Source organism: Homo sapiens, chromosome 20 (genome assembly GCF_000001405.40).
Source record: "Homo sapiens chromosome 20, GRCh38.p14 Primary Assembly".
Taxonomy (NCBI): domain Eukaryota; kingdom Metazoa; phylum Chordata; class Mammalia; order Primates; family Hominidae; genus Homo; species Homo sapiens.
Window position 1 is genome coordinate 37,936,667 of NC_000020.11, and position 24,436 is coordinate 37,961,102.

The window sequence follows — 24,436 nt, forward strand, 5'->3', positions numbered from 1 at the left end:
CCGTGAGGACACAGTGGGGCCAGCATTTAGTGTCCCAGGAGCTGAGTCCTGGTTCCAGCTCTGCCACCTCCTCGACTCTCCCTTTTCCTCAGTTAGCTGTTGTTGAAGGCATATATGAAAACGCTTTGGAAACTGTAAAGTGCCATGGATTAGGCTATGTGAGTGACAGTGGTTCCTAGGGTGGAAACTTGTTAACGTGAATTTGTGACTCGTAAAACTCCTATTCCTAGCAAGCGAGCAGGATGTGGGCAAGGGAATAAAAAAAAAAAATCAGATGCTGGGCGCAGTGCACACCTGTAATCCCAGCGCTTTGGGAAGCCAAGGTGGGCGGATCATCCGAGGTCAGGAGTTCGTGACAAGCCTGGCCAACACAGTGACACCCCGTCTCTACTAAAAATACAAAAATTAGCCAGGTGTGGTGGTGCACGCCTGCAGTCCCAGATACTTGGGAGGCTGAGATGGGAAAATCGCTTGAACCCAGGAGGCAGAGGCTGCAGTGAGCCGAGATCGCACCACTGCTCTCATAAGGAGATCATTTACGTGGGAGGACAGGCATCTGTAATAAAATAATAATGATAATAATAATATAGCAGCTAACATTTATTGAGTGCTTACCATATGTTAGGAGCCATGACGAGCACTTTATATGAATTATCTCGTTTAACTTGGGCCCAGGGAAGGACCCTGGCCTAAAAATATCTCCCTTGGTAGCTTGCATCTGCTAAGGATTCCACCATTAGGTGGAATCATTTCCATGGCTCAGGCAAACATTTCTGCTTATTGGCCATTTTCAAGTTCTGGAAGTTTTTCTTTCGATCTAACTAAAGTCATTTGTGCTAAAATTGAGGTTAATTTTCCCCTTAACCAGTTTTGCAAACCAAGATAGTCCACAACTTCCTAATTTTAAGACAAGGTGAAATTCTCCACAAATACCCTCCTTCCTGGGGGACTTCATCACTGTAAATCGCTCGTGGTTGGAAGCTGAGTTAAACCAAGATGACTCTGGAAAGACCATGGTCTCACACATACACACTCCTGCCCTCTGGGTGCTCTCAGTCCACTGTGAGAGACGGGTGTTAATCCAATAATCATGCATGATAAAAAATACAATTACAACTGTGACCAAAATGAGGAGAGCTGCCATAATGGGGTATCTGATCTAGCCTGGGGGGCCAGGAGGGCTTCCTGGAGGAGGTGCTATTTGAAGTGAGCACTGAGGTGTGGAGGATTTGACAAAGGGTGGGGAACTTGGCTGGGTGTGTGCACTGGAGGAATTGCTAGTGGCCGATGAGGCTGAGGGGCAGGCCGGGATGAGACCTCAAAGGGCCTTGTCAGCCACCGTGGGGACCATCAAAGAGTTTAAGTTAGGGACATTTTGAAAAAATTGGTCTGGCTGTTGTGGAAGAAGAGGCTGGAAGGTTGTGTAGATCTGGGAGGAGGCTGGGGTGATGGCCTGGGTGGGAGAAGCCCTGGACCTTGCTTTTGCCAGTGCTGAGGGATGTGGATTCTGGAGAGAAGGGGAAGGGGTCCAGTGGTGTTTAGAGGAGGTCAGTGGGTTCAGGGGTGGAGTGTGCAGAGTGCAGAAAGAAAACAGAAATGGTGATTGCAGAGTTTGGCTACAGCAGTAAGGCCTTCTGGGGCCCAGGTCTGGGGAGAACCTGAGTTGGGTTCTGAACATGCTGAGGGGCCAGCGAAGTGCTGGGTGGAGCTGATAGAGGCTGATTGCAGGGCCCAGCCTGGGGCAGGAGGCATCTGACCCCTATTCCTCACCCCAGCACCTTCCCTGGGGCCTCCACCTCTGCCAGGAGGCCACGTGAAGGCAAGGGTTGGCATCACGAGTACAAATCCATTCTTCTGGCGTGGCTGGAAGACGATCCCAGCCTGCCCAATGTGAGCTGGCCTCGGAGTATCCCTGCAGTGCCCGGAAAAGCCTGAGCTGTGGGGCAAGCAGGGAGGAGGCTGAACTTGGCCCTGGCCAGGGTTCGGCCTTGTCTCTTTCAGCGTAACTAGGTGCTTAATTGCACTGCTAAGGCCTGTCGATGCCTGTGCGGAGGTGATTATGATTTACAGCTGGGTCGCCATGCGGGGGTCCCTTTCTTCGTGGGCTCTCCAGTCGCCCTGGAGGGCTGGGCTGAAGGGCTTTCTGCATAATGTGTGGTGGATGAAATCCAACGGGCTGCTCCTGGAGTGGGATATTGGGCCCCCTCCCGTGGGAGAGGCCTCTGATGAGGTTTGGGGCTGGGTTTTCCCAAGACATGGAGGATTGGGGGCCTCGGAAAGACATGAGAAGACCGATCTGTAGTTTATTGTTCAGAAGGCTCCCAGAGGGGTGGGTAAGGTGTGGCCTCTGTCACCAGCTGGGTGACCTTGAGAAAATCGCTTCACCTCTCTGAGTCTCAGTTTCTTCACCTGCATCATAGGGTTATTGTGAGGTTTAAATAAGAGTGATGAAGCTTGGCTGGGCGCGGTGGCTCACGCTTAGAATCCCAGCACTTTGGGAGGCCGAGGCAGGAGGATTGCTTGAGCCCAGGAGTTCAAGACCAGCTTTGGCAACATAGTAAGACCCCATCTCCACAGAAAGATACAAAAATTGGCCAGGAGTGGTGGTGCGCACCTGTGGCCACAGCTACTCAGGAGGTCGGAGGGGGTGCTGAAGCGGGAGGATTGCTTGAGCCCAGGAGGCTGAGGCTGCAGTGAGCCATGATCACGCCAGGGCACTCCAGCCTAAGGTGACAGAACGAGACCCTGTCTCAAAAAAAAGAAAAAGAAAGAAAGAACGAAAGAAAGAAAGAAAGATTGATGAAACTTATCACATCATCTCACAGTGATCAGGCACTTCATAAACATTAGCCACTGGCACTACTGTTGCTGTTATTATTTTTATTAAAAATATCGTATTTGCCTTCTCCAGATTGTGCTTAGAGGCATGGACCACAGGGACTGGGAGGGAGTCGTGTCTGACATGTGTCCTTGCCCTTCATCCTGTTGGAAGTTCACTCGCTGAGTTGCTTGATTATGGGTTAGGGGTCTAGGTTCTCCGTTAGACTGTCAGCTCGTGCCAGCATTACCAGGATCTGGCTGGCCCATTGTGGTAGGCACTCGCTAAGTGCTTGTTGAATGAACGGACAAATTTAGCCCAAGAAAACCGAGGCCAGAGTGCTGGTGACTTGTCACGGTCAGCGCCTGGCCTCCCATCCCTCCCTGCGGTGCTCCCTGCCCTCCTCCTCTCTGAGAGAGGAAGAGCTCGTGTTCCTGAAGGCCACATCTGTCTCTTGGCAGAGGGGGTGACAGGGAGGAGGGAGCTGGCTGCCTGGGGAGCCGTCCAGGCCTTCGTGGCCCCATCTAGGGGATGGGAGTGGGTGGGCCGAGGGCTGGGCCTCGCTTGGTGCTCCCTCCCTAGGAGCGAGTGCTCCCAGCACTTTGGATTATTACTCCATTAGCGCCTTGTAGGGTTGACAAATGAAGGATAATTAATATCCGTGAGGGAAGCAGATGTTGAGGTAATTCGCTCCCGCTGCGCATTTGCAACAGCATCTCCTAACTCGCCAGAGAGAGCACACAGGACCACAGGGTGGAGGTGATGGAGTCAGAGGGACAGGGTGGGCTCCAGCAGGGCCTGGCACTAGGGAGGGGGCACCCCCACAGCCAGAGGGGCAGCTGGGAGGGTTTCCCACTGCTTGCCATGGGGAAGTCCTGCCTGGGTCCCACCTCCGTGCCTCTGCTGAAGGCTTTCCCTCCACGTAGGGGACGATGGGCAGCAGGGAAGGCTCAGCATGAGGGAGGAAGATCAGGCTCCCTGCTGCTGGACACTCTCTTCTTCCCTTCCCTGTGGCCCTGCCAGCACTGGTGGCCCTCGGTGAGCCTGTCACACCACTGGAAGGGTGAGAGCGCATGGAGCCTGTTCCCAGTTCCGCCACTCACTGACTCCATGCCTCTGGGCAAGTCACTTCTTTTGGAGCTTCAGTTTCACCATCTGCAAAGTGGATATCGTTATGTGTATTCACCCTGCTATAAAGAACTACCAGAGACTAGGTAATTCACAAAGAAAAGAGGTTAAATTGGCTCAACGTTCTGCATGGCTGGGGAGGCCTCAGAAAACTTAGAATTATGGTGTAAGGCTAAAGGGAAGCAAGGCATGTCTTACGTGTTGGCAGGAGAAGAGTGAACGAAGGGGAAACTGCTACTTTTAAACCATCACATCTTGTGAGAACTCACTCACTATCACGAGAACAGCATGGAGAAAACTGTCCCCATGATCCACTCACCTCCCACCAGGCCCCGCCCTCAACATGTGGGGATTACACTTTGAGATGAGATTTGGGTGGGGACACAGAGCCAAACCATATCATCATGCGCATGTGACTTACAATTAGAAAGCAAGACATCTGAGTATGACTTCAGTTGGAGAAAGAAGGTCATGGGGTGGGTCCCTGCATTCAACAAATGTTGATGATTATTTACGGAGTGCTGGGCTCTGTGATAACCACTCACATGGACAAAATAAATATTGTCCCTGCTCTCATGGAGGGTACGGTTTAGCCAGGGAGAGAACCCAAAATCAAGTCAACAGACAAATACACGGTTCAAAATGAGAAGACTGCTATGCAGGAAATAGGAGGGAGTGGGGACAGGGGGTCAATTTCTTGGAGGAGGTGACATTTAGGATGAATGGGAACCAGGCAGGTGAAGATGAACAGGGAACCCCACCCAGGCAGAGGGCCCAGCACGCGCAAAGGCCGTGAGGTCAGCAAGAGTTTCCCATTGGGGTGTTGACGAAAGAGCCCTCCCCAGGGCAGATTGGTAAGACGATTAGAAGTCACACGTGTGAGTGCCCAGCACAGGCTCAGAAACATCTGCAGGCTGCATGCAGAGGGCGCACTTTCTCATCCTGGCCCCCTCACTGCAGGGGTGACCAGCAGGGGCATCCCACCTGGAGCCAGAAGTTGGGCTTCCTTCTCTAGGAGCTGGGGCTTGGCAGGAACAGGCCAGCTCGTTGTCCCTCCAGAAGAGACAGACCAGTAGTCCACAGGTCTGAGGCCCACTCACCTGAGCCTACAAAGCTGTCTGGGAAGGGGGTCAGTGGCTGGCAGCTGAGAACTGATCTCCACTGTTCTGTCCAGGCAGGACAGGGGCTGCAGGAAGGTTTTTTTTTTTTTCTAAGAAGAAGGGGCCAGGAAAGGAAAGAAGCCCCCTCCCACCACCACCACCCCTCTCCATAGGCCCAACTCCTTTTTTTTTTTTTTTAATCTTTTATTTTGAGTTATAGTCTCAGGAAAAGTTTCAAAAATAGGTCATTAAGTCTCCTGTACCCATCAGCCAGCTTCCCCAGTGGTGTATCTTATGTAACTGTCCATCTGCTTTTTCTTTTTTAATTGAAAAAACACCCACAGCAACTTTATATTCAGGGCAGATTTATTCATAAGAGCTTTAATCTGGAAATCACATAAATGTCCATCGACGGTGATCACATAAACAAATCGTGCAGTATGCATGTGATGGAATACTATACAGCAATGAAAAAGAACAAATGGATGGCTGGGCATGGTGGCTTACACCTATAATCCTGGCACTTCGGGAGGCTGAGGTGGGTTGATCACTTGAGGCCAGGAGTTCGGGACCAGCCTGGCCAACATGGTGAAACCCCATTTCAACTAAAAATACAAAAATTAGCTGAGCATGGTGGCGGGTGCCTGTAATCCCAGCTACTGGGGAGGCTGAGGCATGAGAACTGCTTGAACCCAGGAGGTGGAGGTTGCAGTGAGCTAAGATCGTGCCACTGCACTCCAGCCTGGGTAACAGAGACTCTGTCTCAAACAAACAAACAAATAGATGCAGGCAGCAACATGGAGAAATCTCACCGATAACAGGTTGTGTCGAAAAAGCCAGGCACAGGAAAGAAGCCACCCATACAAGAGTTCCAAAACAGAAAAAAACGAATCTATGGTGATAGAAGTCAGTCAGAAAGCGGGGGACCCCAGAGGGGGAGTATTGCTCAGTGAAGGGTGTGCTCTAGGGGGTCACGAGTGTTCCATGCTTTGCTCTGGATGGTGGTTACACAGGTGTACACACAGGAAACATTTCCTCAGGCTGTGTGCACTTTACTCTACATAAGTAATACTCCCATTTTAAAATAGAAATGTAAAAACCCAACCAAATAAAACAAAAAGTCAAAGTACAAAGACGAATATAACAAACATCCTTGCTCCCCCCAAGTGGAGTGAATAGTTATTAGCATCCTGATATATTTGTCGTCAGCCTTTATATTGTTTTGTTTTGTTTTTTATTATGTTATTTTATTTTATTTATTTATTTTTTTGAGACGGAGTCTCGCGCTGTCGCCCAGGCTGGAGTGCAGTGGTGCGATCTCAGCTCACTGCAACCTCCGCCTCCTGGGTTGTTCAAGTGATTTTCGTGCCTCAGTCTCACGAGTAGCTGGGATTACCGGCATGCACCACCACACCCCCGGCTAGTTTTTGTATTTTTAGTAGAGATGGGGTTTCCCCATGTTGCCCAGGCAACATGCCCAGGTCTCAAACTCCTGACTTCAAGTGATCCGCCTCCCTCGGCCTCCCAAAGTGCTGGGATTCCAGGCATGAGCCACCGCACTTGGCCTGGTTTGGTTTTTAAAAGACCGGTCTCACTCTGTCACCTAGGCTGGAGTGCAGTGGTGCAATCACGGCTCACTGCAAGCCTCAAACTCCTGGGCTCAAACAGTCCTCGCACCTCAGTCTCCTGAGTAGCTGGGACTGCAGGCGCCTCTATTTTTTTTTTTTTTTTTTTTTAGGAAATGTAAACTTTCAGACTAAACGAAGACTTTGCTTTGTAGCCTACACCAGGTCCACTTCCTCCCCTGTGTTCTGCCCTAGGGTCTACCACTGCTGTGAGGAGGCCCCGTTGTTCCCTCCTGTCTATTTTAAACTTCCACACCCGGAAGACCCCAAAACCAGTATAGAGTAGGTGTCTGTGTTTGTTTACATAAATGGCATCCCCTGGGGGTGGGCAGCAGTGAGAGCTTTCCCTCTGCTGTTTGCCACTGAGCTCACGTGCCTAGTTCTAGCTCCGTCTTTCGGACCACTCTGCAGTGCTTCATGCAGGGAACCGGCCACTGCTTAGTTATGTGGTCTGTTGGTGGACATGGCAGTTGCTTTTACTTTTTTGCTATTTAACTCACTCTTGTGCAAACCTCGGTGGGCCCTTGTGGGAGTGTTTCTGGGGCTCCCGTCCTAGCATGCGATCTTGGGACCCCCCCCCCCGACTCTTCTTCTCCCCCACTGTCACTGGATGGACAGGTCACGGTCTCTCTGTCACCCCCAGGTGGTCAAGGTGGTGGGCAGCAACATCTCCCACAAGCTGCGCCTGTCCCGGGTGAAGCCCACGGACGAAGGCACCTACGAGTGCCGCGTCATCGACTTCAGCGACGGCAAGGCCCGGCACCACAAGGTCAAGGCCTACCTGCGGGTGCAGCCAGGGGAGAACTCCGTCCTGCATCTGCCCGAAGCCCCTCCCGCCGCGCCCGCCCCGCCGCCCCCCAAGCCAGGCAAGGAGCTGAGGAAGCGCTCGGTGGACCAGGAGGCCTGCAGCCTCTAGACTGATGCCCCTGCCCCCGCCCATCCGCCCCCACGCTGTACAGAGTGCATGAGGAGCCGCCGGACCACCGGGGACCGACTGCCTGCGTCCAGCCGCGCCCCATCCCCGAGGCCGCCTGTGGCCACCATGTCGGCCCTCTTTCCACCACCCCTTGCTCAGCATGTAAGCCCCACCCACCCCTGCCCTTTCAGACCCCTGCGGTGACCTGGCTCGGAGAAGGTGGCCCTGGGCACCAAGGGGCCAACCGCCCTGAACACTGGGGCAGGGACCATGCTGGGGCCCGGGGCCACCCCCTTCCTGTCACCAGCTTCTGTGGAGTCCAGTGTTTTGCTTTGCTTGCTTGTCCCCCATCCTGTCCTGAGCCGGGGCCCCCCAGCCTCGCCTCCCTCCTCCTACCATCCCTCACTTGGACCTGGGGGTGTGGACAGTGACCCCTCCCTGAATATGGACTTGAATCTTCTGAGCAGAACTAGGGCCTCTCCCCTGGTGAAGACCCAGGGAACCCAGGAGGGCCCTTCTGGGGCAGTGGCTCTGCAGGGTCACTCATGGAGGCCTAGGGGAACAGCGAGATGCCCCACCACCTCCTGGCGAGTCCTTCCTGTTCAGCTCCCTGTGCGACCCTCCAGGGATGCAGGGGATCCAGGATTCTCTGCCCTGTCACACGGCGAGTCAGAAGGGAGGGGCCTTTCCCTCGGACCCATGGCCCCAGGCAGAGTTTTGCACCAGCAGGACCCCTTTGAGGGCCTTCAAGGCTCTCCCAGGAGTCCCCCTCTGCCGGCCCCCCAATGCCCCAGCTCCCTCTTGGGTCCTGTGCCAAGTCCGCCCCAGGGCCTGGGGCTGTTGGGAGCCAAGGGCCCCCTGGTACTCAGTTCCCTCACGATTCCCGATCACGGGCACACCTGCCCCCTGGTTATTTGTAAATATTTCTATTGGACCCAATTCTCCTCGGAATTGGCTGGCACCTCTGGCTGCCGCAGCTCAGTGATGACGTGGGGGAGGTGGGAGAGGCCGAGGGCTTTGCCTAGGGGTGGGTTGCCCTGTATACATGATCCAGTCTGTGACTACCAGCCAACCTGAATAAAGCGGTTTTAAAAAAACCTCTGGGCAGTGTCTTTCTGGGGCATTTGTGCCTGGGGGGTGTGTGGGGTGGAGGCAGGAGAGCAGGTGGCTAGCTCACACCCACGCCTCACTCAGCATCTCTCTCCTGCTTTGCACCCCAAGCAGCGCCTGGCTTTGCAGTGCAGAGCACAGGACCGGTGGGGGCAGAGGGAGAGGGTGGGAGACAACCAGCTTTTGTTCAGCTCCAATCCTGTTACCAGGCACTCAAATTATTCTTTGCTTCTGAGATAATCACCTACAGAGAAGACTGCATAAAACATGTTTACACAGTTTTGTAAATAATGTAAAGCAAATACTTGTGTAGCCACTACCTACCAAACATAGCACCCCAAAAGAGAACCTCCCCAAGCCTGATGTGTCATTTCCATCTATCCCTTCTCCTCCCTCTTAGAGGCAGCCACTGTCCCCACAGTTAAGGTAATCTCATTCTTTTTTTTTTTTGTTTTTGAGACGGAGTTTCGCTCTGCAACCCAAGCTGGAGTGCAGTGGTGCAGTCTCGGTTCACTGCAACCTCCATCTCCTGGGTTCAAGTGATTCTCCTGCCTCAGCCTCCCGAGTAGCTGGAACTATAGGCATGTGCCACCACACCTGGCTAATTTTTTTGTATTTTTATTAGAGCCAGGGTTTCGCCACATTAGCCAGGATGGTCTCAATCTCCTGACGTCGTGATCTGCCCGCCTCAGCCTCCCAAAGTGCTGGGATTACAGGCGTGAGCCACTGTGCCCAGCAGTTTTTTTTGTTTTTTTGTTTTTTTGTATTTTTAGTAGAACTGGGGTTTCGCCATGTTGGTCAGGCTGGTCTCAAATTCCTGACCTCAAATGATTCACCTGCCTCAGCCTCCCAAAGTGCTGGGATTACAGGTGTGAGCCACTGTGCCCAGCTGATAATCCCATTCTTAATGTTCTTTTTGTAGTCTTACTACCTATGTGTATGTCCTTGTATTTATTTTTTATTTTAAGTTCCGGGGTGCATGTGCAGGATGTGCAGGTGTGTTATATAGGTGAATGTGTGCCATGGTGGCTTACTGCACCTATCAACCCATCACCTAGGTATTAAGCTTGGCATGCATGAGCTATTTTCCCACTGTTCTCCCCCTCCCCTGCCCTCCCCTGTGTATGTCATTTTAAACAATGTATGTGAGTTTCCTCCATTGTCTGACCTGCATATGCACAGAATCATACTGTATTTCTCATGTCTTATATTTGTGAGATTCATCTGTGTTGCTGCATGTGTCTGTAATTTGTTCACCTTTATTGCTGTATAATATTTCACTGTATGACTATCTCACCATCTATCAACTTACTTATCCATTGTATTGCTGACAAGAATTGGAGTGTGTTCCCGACTGGGTACTATGACTTACCAACAACACTGCTGTGAGCACACTGGTCAGGATCTCCTGGTGCACATGAGCCTGAGATTCTCCTAGTGGATTTATCAGGTCAGAGGCTTAGGCACTTTACTTTGGCATCTCATTTTCTCTTATGAAGTATCAACAACCCCTTATTCCAGTTGAGGAAACAGGCTCAGAGAGGTTAAGTAGCTTGCCCAAAGTCACAGAGTTGTTGAACTCAGACCTCCCTTAGCCGTAAAGTCTGTTTGTCTTGTTTCTGCCAGGTCTGGACCACCTCCCCGGTCCCTGCCATCCCATACTACACCCTGGGCTCTTGACTCCCTTTGGCTTATTCTAGCCGAGTGTCCCACCCACTATGGTCCTGCTGAGAATCTGCCTGAGGATGTGTCCACCTGGGGCTCTCAGGTCAAGCCCTCATAGCCAGAGTAGCCATCTGGTCCTTGCTCTGCAACATGCAGAAACCACAGGCACCCCTTGGAGATTGGGAACTGTTGAAATGATGATTGACCTTGGCCCTGGGCCCCGTGTCCCGGCCCTGTGCTGATCACCACAGTAGCCCTGAAGCAGGCCTTGCATCCTCTGTCTTCAGATGAGGACAATGAGGTTCAGAGAAGGGTGGGCTGGAGAATAGATGGATAGATAGATGATGGATGGATGAGGACATGAATAATAACCAGGCTATGAAGTAGTCAGGACTCTGCTCCTGCAGCAGAATCCAGGTATGCCAGGGATAGATGGTCTTATGACCTGTGGTCCTCTCAGGCCACTGGCTAGCCTGAACTCAATGAATATGGTCTCTTCCAGAAATCTCCACATACAAGGCTGGTTCTGGAAGGCCCAGGTCCCTCTAGGAGGGTGTGGGAGGATCTATGTCATGCTAGAGTGATAACAATACTCACCAGCCCTGAGCACCTCCTATGCACCAGGCACTAGTGAAGGGCTTTCCACAGGAAGTTCTGATATTCCACAGGGTCTCATCCAACCCTCCCAAGGGTCTTTGTCCCATCCCTGGCCATTTTACTCCCATAGAGGGGTCCCCCCAACCTCCTTAGAGGGATTTTTCTTGTTCCACTGGGAAGACAGACAAAAGAAGAAGAAGGTGCCTGGGTTAGAATCCTGCTTCTGCCCATCTTTGCCCCATGGCTGCAGGCAGGGCTCTTCACCTCTCTGAGCCTCAGTTCCCTGTTCTGTACCATGGGGATGCTCCTGGGGAAGTGCAAATCAAAACCACAATGTGTTACCACTTCACACACATGAGGACGGCTGGAATAAAAAAGACAAACACTAACAAGTACTGGCGAGGATGTGGAGACATTGGAACCCTCATGCACTGCTGGTGGGAATATAAAAGGATGTAGCTGCTTTGGAAAACAGTCTGGCGCTCCTCTCAAGGTTAATCATAGAGTTACCAAGTGACTGAGCAATTCCGCTCCTAGGTATCAGCCCAAGAGGACTGAAGACACGTGACCACATAAAAACCTGTGCCTGAATGTTTATAGCAGCATTATCCATAATAGCCAAGAAATGGAAACAACCCCCATGTCCATCAAATAATGGATGGCTAAATAAAATGTGGTATATCAGCCTGGGTGTAGTAGCTCACGCCTGTAATCCCAGCACTTTGGGAGGCCGAGGTGGGCGGATCACGAGGTCAGGAGATCAAGACTATCCTGGCCAACATGGTGAAACTCTGTTGCCACTAAAAATACAAAAATTAGCCAGATGTGGTGGTGCACACCTGTAACCCCAGCTACTCAGAAGGAGAAGAATTGCTGAGGCTGAGGCAGGAGAGGGAGGCTGAGGCAGGAGAATCGCTTAAACCAGGGAGTTGGAGGCTGCAGTGAGCCAAGATCACCCCACTGCACTCCAGCCTGGAGACAGAGTGAGACTCCGTCTCAAAAAAAAAAAAAAAAAAAAGTGGTATATCCAGACGATGGAATATTATCTGGCAATAAAAAGGAGTGACATTCTGACACTACATGCTACACTGTGGCTGAGCCTTGAAAACACGGTGCTAAGCGAAAGCAACCAGACACAAAAGGCCACATATTGTGTGATTCCATTTATATGAAATGCCCAGAATAGGCAAATCCACAGAGATGGAAATCACATTGGTAATTGCCTGGGACTAAGGGAGAGGAGAGTGGGAAGTGACTGCTAATGGGTGTGAGTTTCTTTTGGGGGTGATGGAAATGTTCTAAAATTGATTGTGGTGATGGTTGCACAACTGTGTGAATATAGAAAAAGCCATTGAACGCACACTCTAAGTGGGTGAACTGTGTGGGACGTGAATGATATCCAAATAAAGATTCTAAATGAAACAAGATGCTCCTGACCACAGTGCCCACATCGGACATGGGGAGACGCTTAGGGAATTCTGGCTTCTATTAACCTTGCCGTGATCTTTACGTGAAGCCAGAGCGAAGTCTGCCTGTCCTCAAGGCGCAGCTGGTGGGAGTGGAGATGGGAGCGGTAGAGAAACATGAGCTGGGGGAGGGAATTCCTTTTTTGTTTGGTTTTTGAGATGGAGTCTTGCTGAAACACCCAGGCTGGACTGGGATGGTGTGATCTTGGCTCACAGCAACCTCCACTTCCCGGGTTCAAGCGATTCTCCTGCCTCAGCCTCCTGAGTAGCTGGGATTACAGGCACAACTGGCTAATTTTTGTATTTTTAGTAGAGACAGGGTTTCACTCTATTGGCCAGGGTGGTCTCGAACTCCTGACCTCAAGTAATCCACCCACTTTGGCTTCCCAAGTGCTGGGATTACAGGTGTAAGCCACCGCACCCGGCTGGGGGAAGGAATTTCTTAAAGGGAGTCCCCAGGCCCTATTCAGAAGGCTCAGAAAAACCTCAGTGCACCTCCAGAGTAGCTGTGGGCCGCTTTCCCCTTTGTGCCCAGCATAAGAATAGCATGGGCCGGGGGGTGCTTGTTTTAAGTTCAGATGTCCAGACCCCATCTTGGCCTTCAGACTCCCACCTGCCAGCACCTATAGTTAACTAGTGGCCCTCAAGATGACAATACATCTTGGTGATGGTTCCACGTGGAATTTTTAATTGCTATAGAATATTCCATTTTATTAGGCTGTTCTTGCATTGCCATAAAGAAATACTCGAGACTGGATGATTTATAAAAAGAAAAGAGGTTTAACTGGCTCACAGTTTTGCAGGGCTTATAAGCATAGCACCAACATCATCTTGGTTTCTGGTGAGGGGCTCAGGAAGCTTCCAATCATGGCGGAAGGTGAAGCAGAAGCAGGCACGTCATGTGGCAACAGCAGGAGCAAGAGAGCGAGTGGGGAGGTGCCCACATTTTTAAACACCCAGATTTCACAGGAACTCACCCTTGCAAGGACAGCACCAAGCCATTCATAAGGGATGTGCCCCAATGACCCAAACACCTCCCACCTGGCCCCACCTCCCACACTGGGGATGATATTTCAACATGAGATTTGGAAGGGCCAAATGTCCAAACTAATATCACCCATTACATAGATGAATGATGATCCATTTAGCCAGTCCCCAAATAATGAACATTCAGCTTGTTTCCAATCTTGCCCTATTATAAACAATGTTGCAGTGAATTTCGTAGATGATAAATCTGTTCATACATATGCAAATATGTTTGTAGGATAAATATCTAGAAGTTACATTGCTGAGTCAAAGAGTCATGCATTTCATTTTTAACGTTTAAGTTTTTGAGGGGACAGGGTCTTGCTCCGTCACCCAGACTAGAGTGCAGTGGTGTAATCACAGCTCACTGCAACCTCAACCTCCTGAGCTCAAGCAGTCCTCCCACCTCAGCCTCCTGAGTAGCTGGGACCACAGGCATGTGTCACCATCCCCAGCTAATTTTTTGATTTTTTGTAGAGAAGGGGTCTTACTATGTTGCCCAGGCTGGTCTTTGGCAATTTGGCAATATCAACCAAGAGTAACTGGACAATATTACTCTTGTTATGAGAATAACTTGTTATGAGCTTGAACCACGGCACCCGGCCAACTTGTGCATTTTAAATCTTGGTCAATATTGCCAAATTACTCTCTACAGATGCAGGGCCAATTTATACTCCTACAAGATATATGTGAGAATGTGCACCTAATCCCTGACTCCCCCAGTCTCTTCAACCCCAGAATCAAACATGTTGGTGCAGCTCTCTGTTGGTTAAAATGGAATCTTTTTTTTTTTTTGAGACGGAGTTTCACTCTTGTTGTCCAGGCTGGAGTGCAGTGGCGTGATCTCAGCTCACCTCAACCTCCACCTCCCTGGTTCAAGCGATTCTCCTGCCTCAACCTCTCAAGTAGCTAGGACTACAGGCATGTGCCACCACGCCTGGCTAATTTTGTATTTTTAGTAGAAATGGGGTTTCTCCATGTTGGTCAGTCTGGTCTCGAACTCCCGACCTCAGGTGATCCGCCCACCTCCGCCTCCCAAAGTGCTGGGATTACAGGCGTGAGCCACTGCGCCAGGCCTAAAATGGAATCTTACAGTGGTTTCAATTTACATTTCTCCTGGGAGTGAGATTGGCCATCTTTTTGCTTGTTTAAGAACCAAACCACATGTGCTCCATTTTCTGTGAACTGACACCTCATAATCTTTTTACTGGCTTGTTGATTGCCATCTTATTGATTTGTAGGAGTTCCTACTGAGATGAATTGAAAACTTTTTTTTTTTTTTTGGTCTTTTGGCTTTGTTTACAGTGTCTTTTTGTATTTGTCAAGTAAATGTTTTTAATTGTTAAGTAGTTTGTACATATTAATCTTCCATTTTATCATTTCTGTGTTTCCTTTCATTTATATAAATGTAAATTTGATCCTTCAGGAATTGAAATTGTTTTAAGGTATGAGGGGGGACCCAATTTTATTGTTTTCTAGATTTTAAACTTTTTCTATCTCATCTTGGCATGATTTATTTTTTCCCCACTGATTTGAAATGCTACCATTATTATATTCCAAGCTCCCACATAAATGGACTACTTCTCAACTTTCTTTCCTACTCCTTTGATCTCATTCATAGGTCAGTACCACACTGTTTAAATTATTATAGTTTTATAACTTATTTTAATACATTTTAAGGCTGTTTTTGACTCCACTTTCTGTTTAATTTTTATTTCCACAACTTGCCTGGATTCATCTTTGCTTTTCCATGTGAACTAGAATAATCTTATCCACTTAAAAAATTGTCATTTCAGTTGGGATCATGTTAATTCATAAATTAACACAGGAAAAACTTATATATTTATGACAATGTCTTTTTTTTTTTTCTTTTGAGATGGAGTCTCACCCTGTCACTTAGGCTGAAGTGCAGTGGCGTGATCTTGGCTCACTGCAACTTCCACCTCCCAGATTCAAGCCATTTTCCTGCCTCAGCCGCCTGAGTAGCTGGGATTACAGGCACCTGCCACCACACCTGGCATTTCACCTGTTGGCCAGGTTGGTCTCAAACTGCTGAGCTCAAGTGATCTGCCTGCCTCAGCTTCCCAAAGTACTGGGATTATAAGTGTGAACCACCATGCCTGGCCTATAACAATGTCTTTCTATGTTGTCTCAACATTCTCCTCCTTGGTACTCCCTCTTATTTTAAGACTTCTTGGCTGGGCGCGGTGGCTCATGCCTGTAATTCCAGAACTTTGGGAGGCCAAGGCAGGTGGATCACCTGAGGTCAGGAGTTCAAGACCAGCCTGGCCAACATAGTGAAAACCAGTCTCTGTAAAAATACAAAAATTAGCCAGGCACGATGGCAGGTACCTGTAATCCCAGCTACTTGGGAGGCTGAGGTGAAAGAATCGCTTGAACCCGGGAGGCGGAGGTTGCAGTGAGCCGAGATCATGCCATTGCTTTCTGGGTGACAGAGCAAGACTCCCTCTCAAAAAAAAAAAAAACAAGACTTCATTTTTGTGCTTCTCCAAAGAGTATTTTAAAAATAAGATAAATTTTTGCATGACTAGAGGGCAGTAGATACGCATAGATATGTGATAGAGGTATGGATTGATAATAGACAGTATGTGTGGAATATAGAAAATGTTAATTTTAGAATCAAAATGGTGAGTATAAGAATGTTCTCTCTACCAAATTATTTCAACTTTTATGCATGTTTAAAATTTTTTATAAGATGATGCAGAGGAGAGAGCATTTAGAAGTTTTCTTCCTATCGCCCTTTGTGATGCGCCCCTTCATCAACTAAGACGCACCCAAAGGTTAAGGAAACAGTTACTTAGGGGTTGAGGGTTCAGGGGCTGGCTGGCCTGGCAAAATTTTAAATTCCTATGGCTAAACTGCCTAACTAACGGAGCTATCAGTTCTGATTTACAACCCAGACCACTGCAACTCTGACTGGACAGAGGATCTGCTTTACAATCATTCATTTTTTGTTTTTTGTTTTTTGTTTTTTGAGACAGGGTTTTGCTCTGTCACCCAGGCTGGAGTGCAGTGGCACAATCTCGGCTTACTGCAACTTCCACCTCCCAGGTTCAAGAGATTCTCCTGCCTCAGCCTCCCAAGTTAGCTGGGATTACAGGCCTGTGCCACCAAGCCTGGCTAATTTTTGTGATTTTCGTAGAGATGGGGTTTCGCCATGTTGGCCAGACTGGTCTCAAACTCCTGAGCTCAAGTGATCCGCCCGTCTTGGCCTCCCATAGTGCTGGGATTACAGGCGTAAGCCATAGCACCCAGCTTACAATCATTATCTTCTGATAAGCAACTGCAGACCTTAAGCCAGTTTCAGCAGTTTATAGAGGCTGCAGATACCATGTACCTGGTGGGGGAAGGAGGAATCAGGTGAAAAACCAGTACAAGCAATACAAATTCAATACAGTGGCTGGACACATAAGTTAAAATACAGAAACAGGCAGGGCGCGGTGGCTCACGCCTGTAATCCCAGCACTTTGGGAGGCCGAAGCGGGTGAATCACAAGGTCAGGAGATCGGGACCATCCTGGCCAACATGGTAAAACCACATCTCTACTAAAAATACAAAAATTAGCGGAGCATGGTGGCGGGCGCCTGTAGTCCCAGCTACTCGGGAGGCTGAGGCAGGAGAATTGCTTGAACCCGGGAGGCGGAGGTAGCAGTGAGCTGAGATCGCGCCGCTGCACTACGGCCTGGCGACAGAGAAAGATGCTATGTCAAAAAACAAACAAACAAACACAGAAACATACTGTCTTTGTGTCCTATACTTCATCTTTTGATAAACAGAGCCACATTCCACTTCCTTTTCATGCTAAAACCCACCCTAGCCGGGTGCGATGGCTCACACCTGTAATCCCAGCACTTTGAGAGGCTAAGGTGGTCAGATCACTTGAGATCAGGAGTTCAAGACCAGCCTGGCCAACATGGTGAAACCCTGTCCTACCAAAAATACAAAAATTAGCCAGCGTGGTGGCGGGCCCCTGAAATCCCAGCTACTCGGGAGGCTGAGGCAGGAGAATTGCCTGAACCTGGGAGGCGGAGGTTGCAGTGAGCACGCCACTACACTCCAGTCTGGGTGACAGAGCGAGACTCCATCTCAAACAAACAAACAACCCACCCTAAAGTGAACATGGGATGTATGTTATATGTATGCTTACCCATTATGCATGCACTCGGCTCCCCTCATAAATACGTACAGCTTTTCCCCTAAACCTGCTGAATATGTACAATACCAGCACTGTGAGTCGTAAAACCCAACCCGTACTTCTCCTCTTTGAAGAGAGGGCACCTTTGGCCTGTGCTAGAGACTTTCTCTTCCTGGTATGCAAACTGATATCACCAATAAAGCTTTCCTTCCTATTTAGCCATCCTGGTGGTCTTGTGGGTGACACCCTGCATATTTTTGTTGAATTAATTCCTAAATACTTTTTGTTGTTACTATTATAATTAACTGTTTTCTTCTATTATGTCTTCTAACTCAGCAGTCCCCAACCATTTTGGCACCAGTGACCGGTTTCTTGGAAAATAATTTTTCCGTGGACCGGGTGGTGGGGCACGGGGTGGGGTATGGTTTGGGGATAAAACTCTTCCAGCTCAGATCATCAGGCATTCAGTTCTCATAAGGAGCACGCAACCCAGATCTCTTACATGCGCAGTTCACAATAGGGTTCACGCTCCTATGAGACTCTAATGCCCCTGCTGATCTGACAGGAGGCGGAGCTCAGGCGATAATGCTCACTTGCCTGCTGCTCACCTCCTGCTATATGGCCCGGTTCCTAACAGGTCACAAACTGGTACCGGTCCGTGGTCTAACTAATTGTTCTTTGTATAACTGTGAAGGCTATTGGCTTCTGTATTTTAGCTTACGTATCGGCCACTTTATTGACTCAGTATTGCTTGCACTGGTTTTCACTTGATTCCTCCCTCCCCCACCAGGTACCTGATATCTGCAAGCAAGATGATCTCCCTCATTTCTTTCCAAATCTATATACTTTTTATTTCTTTCTTTGGACTAATTGAATTGGCCAGTATCTCCAAGACAATGTTAAATGATAGAACTGCTTTAGAACATCTTTGTCTTGCTTTTAACTTTAATGAGAATGCTTCTTTTGTTTGTAATGCTGACTTTGAATATACTTCTGGAGTCTCTTGTGAATGTTTTAGGAGACTCAAACCCGATTGATGAGGCACACAAACACTTCAGTATGAATGTTCATTTCAAGCTGGCACCATTTAAGCCAGGTTCTAGGACTATGTCTGTACTCCCCACCTCAACCCCACCCCACCACCACCTTCCAGACAAAAGGAAAACATTTTTGGAATGAAACTCAGTACTTTGCCTTAGTCACCTTCAGGTGTAGCCCTGGAAGCCAACAGGTATAACATTTAGAGCAGGGGCTTTGGGGTCTGATAGACATGGGTTCGAATCCCAGCTCTGCCACCTTTGAGGTATATGGCATTTGATCCACTTCCTCCCATTTGAACTTCGGTTTCCCTGGAGAATTTGAGGGGACACGGAGCTCAGCATCTAGCACAGTGAGGCTGCTCTCATTTACCAGCATGGGGAGTGGGACGAGCAGGGCCTGGGGGATCTGCATTAATGATAAGTTTCTTTTTTAAAATTAATTAATTTATTTATTTTGAGATGGAGTCCCACTCTTGTTGCCCAGGCTGGAGTGCAATGGTGCAATCTCAGCTCACTGCAACCTCTGCTTCCCGGTTTCAAGTGATTCTCCTGCCGCAGCCTCCCAAGTAGCTGGGATTATAGGTTCACAACACCACGCCTGGCTAATTATTGTATTTGTAGTAGAGAGGGGGTTTCACCATGTTGGCCAGGCTGGTCTCAAACTCCTGACCTCATGTGATCCTCCCGCCTCAGCCTCCCAAAGTGCTGGGATTACAGGCGTGAGCCACTGTGCCTGGCCATTAATGATAAGTTTCCTTCATGCTAAAGTTTGTGAGGTATTGGAAATCACTTGTGCATAACAAGTGACTGGAAAAGACAGACTCCACGCTGAGCACTGTGGTCATTTCTGAGAAGTGGGATAGAAGAAATACATACATCCTAGGAGGCTATTTGTAAAGGGCAAGGATTACATCTGTAACTTGAAACATCTATAAATATTTAAAGAGAACCAATCGGGAAACAAAAGTAAATAAAATGGGGGAAATGAAAGAATGCCAGGGTTGGCAGGAATCCTAGTATGTGCACCATCTGGTGTCTGAGTCCCTTTGACAATGTCTCTCCCTTCAGGGATGAGATGCATTTTCCTTCTGAAAACAGCCCTTGCTGACCCGACCTAGAGCAGACCCTGGAGCTATGTCCTACTTTGCCTCCAGCCTCTCCCACCCTCTCCCCAATCCTAATTCTTTTTTTTTCCTTCTCCTCCTCTCCTCCTCTCCTCCTCTTTTTTTTTTTTCTTCTTGATTTAGTCCCATTAGTTTAGGTTTTTTTCACTCTTTTCAGACCACTTGTCTCAGAAAAGACTTGCCTAGTCTCTCAGCGTGTGTATCTTGATTGGTCTAAGCCAGGGGCTCTTAACATGCAGTCCACAGACTACCTCAACCAAGGAGTCTGTGGATGGAATGCATAGGATTCACAAACTTGGATGGGGGAGAAGGAAAAGAAGCTACACCTTTATTTTCACTAACATTTAACTGAAATTTAGCATTTGCTTCTCTTATGAATGTAAGGAACAAATCATAGTTGCATTAGCAGTACTTGTGATTTTGTCACCAAAAGAAGTGAAATATTTTTTCATATCACAAAACATTTGTTGCAGGTATCTCACAGTATTGTTTACACTCATTGCTGCTTCAAAATTATAGTTATTAGATCAGCTGCTAGATTTTATTTAACATGCTAATAAAGAAGCATATTTGTTCCTGTAACATACTTTTAAAAATATATTTTGAAAACTGTATTCAATATAATTAGTTTTCTTTGCAATTCTATCATTTTGTTTATTTATTTTTCATTTTATTTTATGTAGTTAAAACAGTATTATGAGAAGGCATCCATCCATAGGCTTCACCAGACTGCCAACGGGTCCACTAAACAGAAGAGGTTGATAAGCCTTGGTCTAAGCCAATCCTACAATTTCATTTTTCTTGCTTTTTTCATCTTTCTTTCATTTTTCTAAGGACTGGCTTACAAGTGTTATATGACCTGAGGTGAAATTTGAGGGCACATGTGCTGGAAGGAAAAGGGAGTCCCTCTTGGAAAAGGTTTCTTGTGATCTGAGGGGACATCTGCTGAAGGGAAGGGGGAGTCCCTCGTGGAAAAAGTTTCTTAACTTTTAAAAGGAGACACAAGGAAGACATGCTTTCCTCCTCTGCTTCTTGGTGTCTGACCATGTTAGGCTGGGGGTTTCTTCCACTGATAGGCACCCATGAGGAGAGCTGCTGACCTACTGAAGACGGCAGAGATGATTGATGATAAAAGCCTGGGTCTTTGAGGACACAGTTGAGTTGGTGGCTTAGCCAGACACAGAACTACTCTACCTTTGGACTCCTGTTGTCAATGGATACATCTCTTACAATGAAGTACAGTTTGGGTCAGTTGTCTGTTACTTGCAGCCTAGAGCACCTTCTCTAATCCATCATGCTATTTTTGTTGCCCAGTGTTTTCCACTCTTGGTCCTATCTCTGGGTTGACAGAGAACAAAGCTGGCATCTTCTTTTATCTGATCCTTACTCAGATTGGTCAGATCTTTTTTGCTTGAGGTTGAACATCTTCAGGTCCTTCAACTAGACTCAAGAGGCATGGTTTTGAGACCTTTATCCATCCCTACTACGTGTGTCTATCCAGGTCAGTGGTTTTCAAACTTTAGCATGCATCAGAATCATGCTGTTTGTTAAAATTAGCTTGTTAAAATGCAAACTTCTGGGCCCCACTGCAGAGTTTCTGATTCAGTAGAACTGGAGTGGTGTCCAATAATTTGCATTTCTAACAAATTCCCATATAATGCTGATGCTGCTGGTGTTGGAGACAACAGTTTGAAAACCACTGGTCAGCCGGGTATGGTGGCTCACGCCTGTAATCCCAGCACTTTGGGAGGCCGAGGCAGGCGGATCACAAGGTCAGGAGATCAAGACCATCCTGGCTAACATGGTGAAACTCCGTCTCAACTAAAAAATACAAAAAATTAGCCGGGTGTCATGGCGGGTGCCTGTAGTCCCAGCTACTCAGGAGGCTGAGGCAGGAGAATGGTGTGAACCCGGGAGGCGGAGCTTGCAGTGAGCCGAGATCACGTCACTGCACTCCATCCTGGGCGACAGAGCGAGACTCTGTCTAAAAAAAAAAAAAAAGAAAGAAAGAAAACCACTGGTCTAGGTCCCTATGAAAACATAGTTCCTCAAGATAAAACCACTAATCAAGTTCAGCAGAGCAGAGCTATCACCTCCTTCAATACTGATAGCATGCTCCTATTATTGCAGGCCAAGTTATAAGCTACTTTCTTATGCTGCTGAAATCTATGCCAACCAAAACTCTGAAACCTGTTTCATACATGTGGCTTCTAAACCCTCTCTCTGTTCTTTAAATAGGGGACTATCACTTGTCAGTGCTTATGGTGTGCTAAGTGTTTTATGAGTTATATCATTTGATTCTCACAATAACCTTTGACACAGGCGATGATCCCTTTCTGGAGAGACTGGTAACTATAAAAATAAAGAAAAAAATCTTACCAAAGTCATCCAGCTGGTAAATATGTGACGGGAGCAGGATTTGAGTCTGGGTTATAGAACTCTACAATTGAGAACATTCCTCCTGCTTAACAGCATCTATTAATCAGCTGCCCTGCGGGGCTCAAGACAAATTTACCTAATTGTGCCTCATCCAGCTCCTTTCTCTTTCTTGTTCACAGGGTCATTGCTTGTGATTTTTGTCAAATGCCCCAGGTTTCTTGAGCCTCCATTATCTCCTTCATCTGCAAGTCATCCCTTTCACTGCCCCCACCCCTGCTCCCAAGCAGAAGGTGAGGCTTGCTGAGTTGCCTTTGGAGCCACATGAGTTTGGTTTCTGAAAGTGTTAACTGTGGGCACATTTTAATAAAGGCCATTTTCTAGGCTACATCTATATAAATGTTCCAATTTAATATGCAAATGTACCATAAGTGATTTAGCGTGTGCTGGGTCTTTATTGTTCTAGTTGCAGTTATGTTGATTTAGCCCATAGCTCTATGGTTAATAATTTAGTAAGCAACCTTATTTTTTAATCTCCCTTTGTCCTCATACCTCATCCTTTTCCACATTAAGGGACTTAGGCTTGCATTAAAATTCAGTTTAATGAACAATCAATCCTTGAATAAGTGGTAGCTACAAAAGAACTCCATCCAAATGCTAGGGAATCCTGTAAGTTTATGGTTTTTTACCTTCTTTGTGGAATTCTTGCTTTTATCATAAATATAATGACCCACTTTATCCCTCCTAGTGCTTTTTGCATTATGTTCTATTTTGCCTGACATTAATATTGTTAGTCTAGTCTTCTTTGGTTAGTATTTTCCTGGGATATCTTTTTCTGTCTATTTTCAGTATTTCTGTATGATCATCTTAAGTATATCTCTTACACACCACTTACAGCTGGATTTTGATTTTTAAAAATCTCATGGATAGTCTCTAAGAGGCAAGTTTAATCCATTTACATTTATCGTGATTACTGATTTGTTTGAACTAATTTTCTAACATCTTTCTGTGTGTGTATGTTTTCTATTACAGTGATATTTTGGGGGGTGGAGGGTGGAGGGCATATGTGGCTACTTTAATTTTTTTCTTCCTTCTTTACTTTTGATGGATAGAGCTCCTTATCACCCCATCCCTTTTCCTCCCTACTGATTTGAATGCTATATATCAGGGGTCTCCAACCCCTGGTACTGGTCCATGGCCTGTTAGGAAATGAGCCAGACAGCAGGAAGTGAGTGGCAGGCAAGGGAGCATCACTGCCTGAGCTCTGCCTCCTGTCAGATCAGCAGTGGCATTAGATTCTCATAGGAGCACAAACCCTATTGTAAACTGTGCACATGAGGGATCTAGGTTGCGTGTTTCTTATGAGAATCTAATGATAAATATAATGCACCTGAGTCATCCCAAAACCATCCCCCAACACACACACACCCACCCCCACCAGTCCACAGAAAAATTGTCTTCCATGAATCCAGTCCCTGGGGCCAAAAAAAACTGGGGACTGCTGTTATATATCACATTTCTTTTAGTGGTTTTGTTTTAATTTTTAACATAGTTACTTGGCTATACATTTTCCCAACAGTGTAAAATTATTCAGTATCTCTATTTTCCTCCTGACAAGACAATCCCTTGAACATAATGTCACTACCAATTGAATTCCCCTCACTCTGTCTTCCTCGTTATTTATTTATTTATTTGAGACAGAGTTTTGTTCATGTTGCCCAGGTTGGAGTGCAATGGCACAATCTTGGCTCACTGCAACCTCCGCCTCCCAGGTTCAAGCAATTCTTCTGCCTCATCCTCCCAAGTAGCTGGGATTACAGCCATGTGCCACCATGCCCAGCTAATTTTTTGTATTTATTAGAGATGGGGTTTCACCATGTTGGTCAGGCTGGTCTCGAACTCCTGACCTCAGGTAATCCACTCACCTTGGCATCCCAAAGTGCTGGGATTACAGGTGTGAGCCACCATGCCCAGCTGTCTTCCTTGTTATTGTCTAGAATTCTGGTTCCACTATTTATCACAAAATTGAATATGTATGTAATCAGAAATTAGATTTACCAATATTTGAACACTTTCTGTACTTAACATTTTCCTTCTTTCACTTTTCCTTCTGCCAAAGTATATGCTTTAGTAATCCTTTCATGATGGTATGGGTAACTTGGTTTATGAAAGTTTGAAAATGTCTGTAATTTTTCTTCCTCAGTGTTCATTTAGCTTTGTATTGAAGTAGGTTGATAGTATTTTTCCCTCTGCATGTTCATGATATTACTTCTCTGTGTATGCCATCCC

General features: G+C 47.5%; 1 protein-coding gene across 2 annotated transcripts in view, besides 3 other annotated features; it reads left to right on the forward strand.

The window, feature by feature from the left end:
* The window catches only part of VSTM2L (V-set and transmembrane domain containing 2 like), a 42,224-nt gene extending 33,540 nt beyond the window's left edge, over positions 1–8,684 (forward strand). For both annotated transcript variants that reach the window (NM_080607.3, XM_011528530.2), the window contains one exon: positions 7,315–8,684. In NM_080607.3, coding sequence (NP_542174.1) covers positions 7,315–7,587 — 273 coding nt within the window. In that variant the 3' untranslated portion in view covers positions 7,588–8,684. The remainder of the gene's footprint in view (positions 1–7,314) is intronic.
* Positions 3,242–3,742: an enhancer, noted in NCBI's record as "H3K4me1 hESC enhancer chr20:36568310-36568810 (GRCh37/hg19 assembly coordinates)". NCBI's record gives its function as "activates a minimal SCP1, AML or CMV promoter by ChIP-STARR-seq in naive H9 embryonic stem cells {active_cell/tissue: H9 hESC(naive)}" and the evidence as "EXISTENCE:reporter gene assay evidence [ECO:0000049][PMID:30033119]".
* Positions 3,743–4,243: an enhancer, noted in NCBI's record as "H3K4me1 hESC enhancer chr20:36568811-36569311 (GRCh37/hg19 assembly coordinates)". NCBI's record gives its function as "activates a minimal SCP1, AML or CMV promoter by ChIP-STARR-seq in naive H9 embryonic stem cells {active_cell/tissue: H9 hESC(naive)}" and the evidence as "EXISTENCE:reporter gene assay evidence [ECO:0000049][PMID:30033119]".
* Positions 18,047–18,247: a silencer, noted in NCBI's record as "peak4207 fragment used in MPRA reporter construct". NCBI's record gives its function as "represses an SCP1 promoter by STARR-seq MPRAs in K562 erythroleukemia cells {active_cell/tissue: K562}" and the evidence as "EXISTENCE:reporter gene assay evidence [ECO:0000049][PMID:32103011]".